The sequence below is a fragment of the Homo sapiens genome, chromosome 8 (assembly GCF_000001405.40).
Source record: "Homo sapiens chromosome 8, GRCh38.p14 Primary Assembly".
NCBI lineage: Eukaryota > Metazoa > Chordata > Mammalia > Primates > Hominidae > Homo > Homo sapiens.
The window spans coordinates 48588671-48596405 of NC_000008.11; the positions used below are offsets into that span (position 1 = coordinate 48588671).

Consider the following 7735-nt stretch of genomic DNA (forward strand, 5'->3'; position numbering starts at 1 on the left):
ACTGATACAGTCAATAACCACCTTTTGTTGCTACATGGAAAGGATCTTTCTTATCAGTCCTTATGGCAGAAATTGTAAAGGTTAACCAAAATCTGTTTCCTTTTCCATCACAGGCACACAGCTAGGTGATACTGCCTGTCTTGCTTGTGGCCATGTGACTGAGTTATGGCTAATGGGATATAGGTAGAAGGATGCATGCCATGTCTAGGTCCAGTCCATAAACGCCTCCATCTCTTAATCCCTTCCCCATATGCTGGCCCAGTGGAGAGGAGCTGGGGGAGGCCAAGCCACTGGATGGAAGATGCACGGTCCCTGAGTGACCATGTGGATGACTGCGACTCAGCAGGGATGTCTACAGAAGACTTTGTGCAAGTGAAAAGCAAGTTTTCATTGTGTCGAGTCACTGGTACTTTAAGGTTCATTATCACAGCCGGAGTTACTTACCATCACCACCCTTCTTCTCCCTCTTGGCCTCCCTGTGGCTGTGGGCAGTAGATATCTCCCTCCTTTATAACTCCTCTTCCCTTGGTTTCCTGGATGCCACACATCATGGTTTTCCCACACCTGTATCAATGGCTCCCACTACCTTGCAGATAAAGCCCAAGATTCTGAGCTTGGTTGAACTCTCTGCCCGTCGTTCTCACCACACACCTTCACACCCTGTGTGCTTCCCTAAACACACCATGCTCTCATTTACTCTGTGGGTTTACATTTGTTGTTCCCTCTGCTTGAAATACTGTTCCTACTGATGTATTGCTTGTTCTGAGAACACTGGGCCCTGAGATTGGGTTGCTCCCATGGGTTCTGATGGAATCCTGTGTTTGCGCCACCATGGGACTTGCTGTTGTAACACTTCTCCATCTCTTTCACCAGCTGACTGTGCAAGCTCTGAGTGGTTTCAGCCTGCTGGGCTCATGACTGCGTGCCTAATGCATAAACAAGTGCTTGTCACCTAGCCATACTAATCACCATTTGGTGAGTGCCTGAATTAATGGGCTTTGTAGGACTGGGGAACCAACAGGGCATGGAGTCTAGAAATTGGACTTAAAGTTCAATAACTGCTAATGAATGAGGAAATCAACCAGAAAAAATGATGCTGCTTAACTTTCCTTGGAGATTATCTGTACTTGGTCCCCCTAACAATGACTAGACTGTTTGCAATTATAGGTACAGAATAGCCTTCTTTCAAATAGTATTTCCTTCTATCATCATTAGTGATGAAAATTGGCCAGGATTTATTTCACATATTACAATGCAGAATTTGATGTTGTTTTTATGTGAACATAACTGCTCTCTAAAACCTCAAGCATTTTTCTCTATTAGAATTGGCAGAGGAGAGGTTATATAAACTTGTGGCCAGTTGAGAAGTTCCCAAAACATCACTATTGAAGTAGAGGGAACTGAGAGCATAGCATGGTGTGTGTGATTTACTCCTTTAGGATGGCTTAGACCCATGATTGCATCTGTTCTTGATTATGGCGCCGCTTTTAACCACAGAGATGACTCAGCACTGGAAGGTTAGCTGTGCTGCCCAAGGTCACACAGCAACATGGGTTTGATGGGGTATCCAAAAGCAGGGATAGCTGTTTTTCCCTAGGAGCCCACACTGACTCCCTGCCTCCAGCACATGGAATGAATCACAGAAAGCCTCTGTTGAGTCATGATGACAAACGTTGAAGTTGACGGCATGTACCCATGAGGTCATATGGAGAATTCCCAAGGGGCACCCTAGCCCACGTTCACTATTGAACACAACGGAAGGGGGAATTATTGTGCTTCTTGCTTTGATTCCCAAGCTGGTGTTGTCTGAGCCTGTCTGGCATGTGCTCTGCCTGCCCTGACTTCTGACCCCAGGAGGAGCATTCAAGGAGCCAAGGAATGGGTCCAGGCATTGTGCTAGTATCTAGCCATGGCAAGATGCTAGATCTAACCATGACGAGAGCAGCTAAGATCGGACTGTACCTGAGTGAGCCCATTGAATCCTCCACCAGCACCACACGGGGTTTCTATTGTTTGTCTCAGCTGCAGGTGAGGAAGCTGAGCTGGAGAGGGCTTCAGTGGCTGGACCCAGGCTGTGTGGGCTTCAGACTGGTCCCCAAAATGCATACCCTCCTCTCCTTACAGGGTACCTGTCATGAGGAGCTCTGCTCACTCTATGACACATTCATCCCAGGGGGTCTTTTCTATGGCCAGGGCTCCTTTCCACAAGTGCTGTGTCCTGCCTTCAAAACAAATCCTCTTTCATGTTCTCTTTCAGAGTCCCTTCCCCAGATATCTCTCTCCTAGCCTCTGACTATTTAAGCTTACTTTATAAGGACTACTTCTTATACCTGAAGTGAGGGCATATGAATTTGAATGTGCAAGGATGGAGAGTGAAATGATCCCATTGAGAGTAAATGAAGCATCCTTATATCCACAAAATATTTGTGTTTGTATGGAGCAGTTTGGCTGAGAAACCTACATTCTTTGCCGTTTATTTTTATGTTGATTTGAATATGCCCATCACAGACAGCAAAGGATGGCCTCTGTGAATGTAGGCAGGAAGGGACTCTCCTCCAGGCGACATCCATCTCGTTATTTTGAGTGCATGACCCTCTTATGACTCGACCCTTCCACACAGGCCGCTGTGCAAGACCTACCCCCATGCATCCTGTTCAGGGTCAGCGTCAGACCCTGCAGAATTTTCCTTCTATTTTTCAGCAACATAATATGAGACAAGGGCCAAGAACTGCAGAACTGTGCACGGTGTTTAGAAGAGGCTGCGAGCTGCTGCTCTGCAGAGTTGGGAGGTGCTTTCGGGCTCTGCAGGCTCCCTGCAGGCCCTTGCTGACTGTCCATGGCCTGCACCTGCCCTACCTGCTGAGCTGCCCCATCAGCTGCTCCTGGCTGTGGTTTCCTGAGGGGTCCCGTCTGCATCGGCTGCCCTGTGTCCTGACACTATGGTGGGTTTGCAAGTGGCAAAGTCCAGGGAAGGAGACTGGGGAGCATGGCCATGGGTCATCCGGGGGGCACGGAGGGTTCCGGCTCCCGCCCAGGTCCACCTGCTTCATCAGCAGTGGTCACCAAGATTGCATAACCAGGACGATGACAACGCTGAGAGCTCTGTTGCAGTTAAAGACTTAAGAACAACTTGTGCCTGCTGACTAATACATTTTATCACCCAGGCAGCGTCAGGACTCTGAGAGCCTCTCACATGCTGCTGTCATCTGAGCGAGACCTCAAGATTTGTCATCGAGCAGGCTGACCCTTGCCTGAATGGACCTCACATTCTTGAGGCAGGGAGAGATCTGCAATCAGCATGATCGATCAGCGATTTTCATAAGACGTTAGAAGTCATCAGAGCTTAGGAAACAGGGTGAGGAAGTAGGGGAGGAGCCGGAAGGGCCCCCATTTAAAACAAGGTGGCCAGGATAGGCCTCTCTGTAGGGGTGACATTGAAGAAATGGTGGGAGAGGGTGTGAGGTGCACATCTCTGAGGGCAGAGTGTTCTGGAGACAGGAAACCATCTGTGCAAAGGCCCTGTGGTGAGAGGGTGCTAGGAGCTAGCAAGCCCAGTCTACTCAACACAGCCATCATTTTAAAACCTCGGTGAGCCCTGTCCCTTATCTTCTGAACCCCCTCCCACAGAAGCGGATGTCACTGAGAGTGAAAGCTGCAGTGTAGGGTGGCCTCCTCTGCACACCGGCCCTGGCCCTCTGACCTCTTCTACCCCATGATGGTCCCCTGTCAGCTGGGTCTAGAGTGGACCGTCGGGGCAGACCTGGAAGGGGAAGGCTGTCAAGTTCCTGCTCCCCTGTGACATACAGCAACACATTTGTTTCCCCCTGGATTCTGGGGATCAGCAACATGTGCGGGTGGGGGCAGGGCAGTCCTGCTGCTCTGGGATGGGCTGCCCCCTCAGGGAGGACTGGCCAGCTGGGTGGCTCTGCTCCTGGAGAGTGACCGGCCATTTGCTGGGTGGATGGGGTGACTGTCCTGAGAGCTTGGCACCACCAGAAGTGTAGTCCACGCAGCCCTTCACAGGTGGCTCAGGGTGCCCAGCGGGGCAAGAGGTGGCCCTCAAGCTAAGCTTGAGCTTAAGCCTAAGCCTAAGCTTGCCACGCTTGGGCTAGGATGCCAAGTCTCCATGCTGGCTGCTGGTCACAGCTCTGTCCCTGTGGGAGAAGACGACTGAAGCCTGGCCAGGCTGGGCCATCTCCCCAGCAGCCACCAGGGCTTGCTGTGAGATGTGGGAGCCATGCTAGGGTCCTGCCCCGGGGATGTTGGTAGGCATGGTGGGAAGCAGTGCAATTATGGATATTTTCTGGAGATAATCATCAACAGGATTTGCTGATGGAATGGACCTGGAATACAAGAAGAAAAGGAATCAAGGATGGCTCTGAGGTTCGGGGCTTGAGCAACTTGGATGGGGGTGCTGCTGAGTCAGGTGGGAGGGGAGCAGGCTCAGGGGATGCGGACTCCATTTGAAGTGGCCGCGTTGGAGATGTCTGTGGACATCCACGTGAAATGCTGAGTGGCCAGCTGGACATGTGGATCTGGTGTCCAGGGGGAAGTTTGGGCTGCAGATACAGATTTCACCAGGACATATTTTTAGTGATGCATAGACTGACCAGGCTCGAAAGAAGCACAGGGTGTGCAGCCCCATTCTGGTAAGCGTGTCTCTGCCTTTACTGAGGTGTCTCCACTGCATCCTTGATTTAATGGAATTCAACTGAACCATCATTGAGCATCTGTTGTATACGATGTACTCTGGAGGCATAAAAACTATTGGGAGAAATGAGGAAGTAAATAAGTAATATTGATATAATTCTTCTATTAATAAGAATCAATTTATCTGAAAACAAAAAGTCTCTTAAGCATTTGAATAAAATAGAAAGCCTTTATTAACATATGAAAATAAATCCATACCCATAAATAAAAATCTGCACACTCACGGGTGCTGACCAGTATATCCTAGCTCACCAGCACAGTGGGCTGGGTGTGGAGAAGGTGGGCATTCAGCTTTCACATCAGGCAGAGGGAGCCTTGGAGCGGAGGGTGCTGGCTCAGGACTGCTGGCCAAGCCCATGGTGGAGTCAGGCCGGCCTGCAGTTGGACACTCTTGACTGATTAAACATTAATAGGCAATTCTAACAAAAACAGAGAGGATGGCAACTCCATAGGAAGGAGGGCCACATGTGGGGGTGAATTCCAAGTCAAACATTTTCCCCAAAGAATTTGTTGTTAAACTTTTAATTTTGAGATAACTGAAGATTCACATGTAGTGGTCAGATATAATATAGCATGATCTTCTGTGCCTTTTACCCAGTTTTCTCCGTCATAACATCTGCAAACGTAGCACTATATTACAGTATCTCAACCAGTGTATAAATGCATACACTCACCAGTGTCACTGGGGTTCCTCCAGTCTCAGTTCATTTGTGTGCATTTATTTTCCGTAACTGTATCACTGCTGTAGAGTAGGATGGCCACCTTGACAGTCAAGAGGCAGAACAGCTCCACACGAGGGTTCCTGTCTTCCTTGCTCCTGGAACCATTAATCTGCTCTCCGTCTCTATAATTTTATCCTTTGAGACTGTTACATAAACAAAACCACACAGTAACCTCACAAGGCATTTTTGCACTCAGTAAAATGCCCTTGAGACCCATTCACGTTGCTGTGTGTATCAGAGCCCGTTCCTTTCCATAGCTGAGCCGTGTTCCTGGTGTGGACACACCACTGTTTAATCAGTCATCGTCGAAGGACGGCTGCCTTGTCCCCCATTTTCGACCATTACAAATGAAGCTTCCATGAGCATTCATGTACAAGTTTCTTTGTGAACTTAAGCTTTCAAGAAATTAAAAAAGAAATGTTTTCAAATGCTTGAGCAAATAGCCAAGATCCCAGGGCACCGTGGGAAAGTGTGGAAGTGAGGATTTTTTTTTTTTTTTTGAGATGGAGCCTTGCTCTGTGGCCCAAGCTGGAGTGCAGTGGCACAATCTCGGCTCACTGCAACCTCCGCCTCCCGGGTTCACACCATTCTCCTGCCTCAGCCTCCCGAGTAGCTGGGACTACAGGTGCCTGCCACCACACCTGGCTAATTTTTTGTTTTTGTATTTTTAGTAGAGATGGGGATTCACCGCGTTAGCCAGGATGGTCTTGATCTCCTGACCTCGTGATCTGCCTGCCTCGGCCTCCCAAAGTGCTGGGATTACAGGCATGAGCCACCGCGCCTAGCTGGAAATAAAGATTTTAACTTGAAAATTGTATGAATAAAAGTTACTAGTTGGCAACCTCGACCATGAAACTAAACTTCAGCATGGCTCACTTGGAGCCTGTGACTTTGAGAGCGCTGCCTCCTGCTTCTGCCTCCCTGCATGAACTGACTTAGTGAAAGACGCTATGGAATATTACCCGTTTGAATGCTGGAGAATGCCTGACAAAGACCATTTAGCTTTGCCACCGTCAGCGTTCTTTCTAACTGCACCGAGCTGACACTGAGTCTTCAGTGTGCCTCTGCGAATAATACAATTATGCTACCAGCTGAGAAAATAGCTCCCATCTTTCTTTTGGCTTGGGCAGGATGACATGTGTTCATTGCATTTTTTTTTTTGAGGTGGAATCTCGCTCTGTCACCAGACTGGAGTGCAGTAGTGCGACGTTGGCTCACTGCAACCTCTGCCTCCTGGGTTCAAGCTATTCTGCCTCAGCCTCCGAGTAACTGGGACTACAGGGGCACGCCACCACATCCAGCTAATTTTTGTATTTTTAGTAGAGACAGGGTTTCACCATGTTGGCCAGGATGGTCTCGATCTCTTGATCTCATGATCTACCTGCCTTGGCCTCCCAAAGTGCTGGGATTACAGGCATAAGCCACCATGCCCAGCCAATTTCAAAATTTTAAGTGGTTATTTTGAGAATTTAAAACGTGGGGGATGAGGACTTTGGATGCTGCTGTATCTGTAGTGATTCTGAGAGTTGTGTTATTTTGTAGTCATACCTTACACAAGGCCTCCTCTGCTTTCTGAATGTGGCATGCAGGGGAGAGGGTCTGCACTGGTCCTCAACCCGGGTACAGCTGGAGTATGTGGCTGACACCAGCGTGAGTGCTGTCCTTGGAGGAGACTGCATTTCCCAAGTGGTGCTTCAGAAGAAGTTCCTGGAATAATAGTGGAGGACATTTCACTTTGATTTTTTGGGCATGCTGTCTCAAATGTCCTCCATGCCCTCGGGCAAATTGGAAGTCAAGGTTGGTCAAATTTAGGGGTGTCTAAGACAGGCATCTCCACCGGATGCCTTACATTGATAGCAGTGACATCATTGTTTAAATGATCATCTCTGAATAATCAAACATAACATGTTATGTGTGGATTTGTCTGCTATCGCTGAAACTGTTCTGGATTTGGAAGAACTGGACAGAGGTGCCTTGAGTGACGGTCAGTATTCGAGTGTGAGGGCCATATTTTGTCACCTGAATGAAGTAGGGTGCCATTTCCAGAGGAGGCGTGGCGGAAGTGGTGCTTCTTGGCTGGGTGCCGGCTCATCTATTCAGCCTGACACAGTTCCACATGTGCCTTTGACCAGTGCCACCCCTGGCCTGCACTGAAATGCCGTAGTCTCTCTTCTTGGTGTGTTTCTAGACCTTGATGATCTTCCTGCCTGGTTATCCTCTGAATACTGCATAGCCATATATTGTCTTCCCTTGAAGGTCCAGATTCAAACTTTTAGGAATTCATTCACCAAGTATTTACAACA

General features: G+C 48.6%; 2 long non-coding RNA genes across 2 annotated transcripts in view, besides 2 other annotated features; one reads left to right on the plus strand and one right to left on the minus strand.

Moving 5' to 3' along the window:
- The window catches only part of LOC101929268 (uncharacterized), a 146944-nt gene that overhangs the window by 37104 nt on the left and 102105 nt on the right, over window positions 1–7735 (plus strand). The window lies entirely within an intron of this gene.
- Window positions 1000–2199: an enhancer, noted in NCBI's record as "BRD4-independent group 4 enhancer chr8:49502230-49503429 (GRCh37/hg19 assembly coordinates)". NCBI's record gives its function as "activates an origin of replication core promoter dependent on BRD2, P300/CBP, MED14 and CDK7 cofactors, and independent of BRD4, by STARR-seq in HCT116 cells {active_cell/tissue: HCT116}" and the evidence as "EXISTENCE:reporter gene assay evidence [ECO:0000049][PMID:35650434]".
- Window positions 1479–1773: an enhancer, noted in NCBI's record as "tiled region #14341; HepG2 Activating non-DNase unmatched - State 23:Low, and K562 Activating non-DNase unmatched - State 24:Quies". NCBI's record gives its function as "activates a minimal TATA promoter and a strong SV40 promoter by Sharpr-MPRA in HepG2 and K562 cells {active_cell/tissue: HepG2 | K562}" and the evidence as "EXISTENCE:reporter gene assay evidence [ECO:0000049][PMID:27701403]".
- Window positions 4255–6640, minus strand: LOC124901943 (uncharacterized). Its single transcript, XR_007060909.1, has 3 exons — window positions 5385–6640; window positions 4611–4764; window positions 4255–4343 (listed from the first exon to the last, which is right to left on the minus strand). It is a non-coding gene; the product is annotated as an uncharacterized LOC124901943 (long non-coding RNA).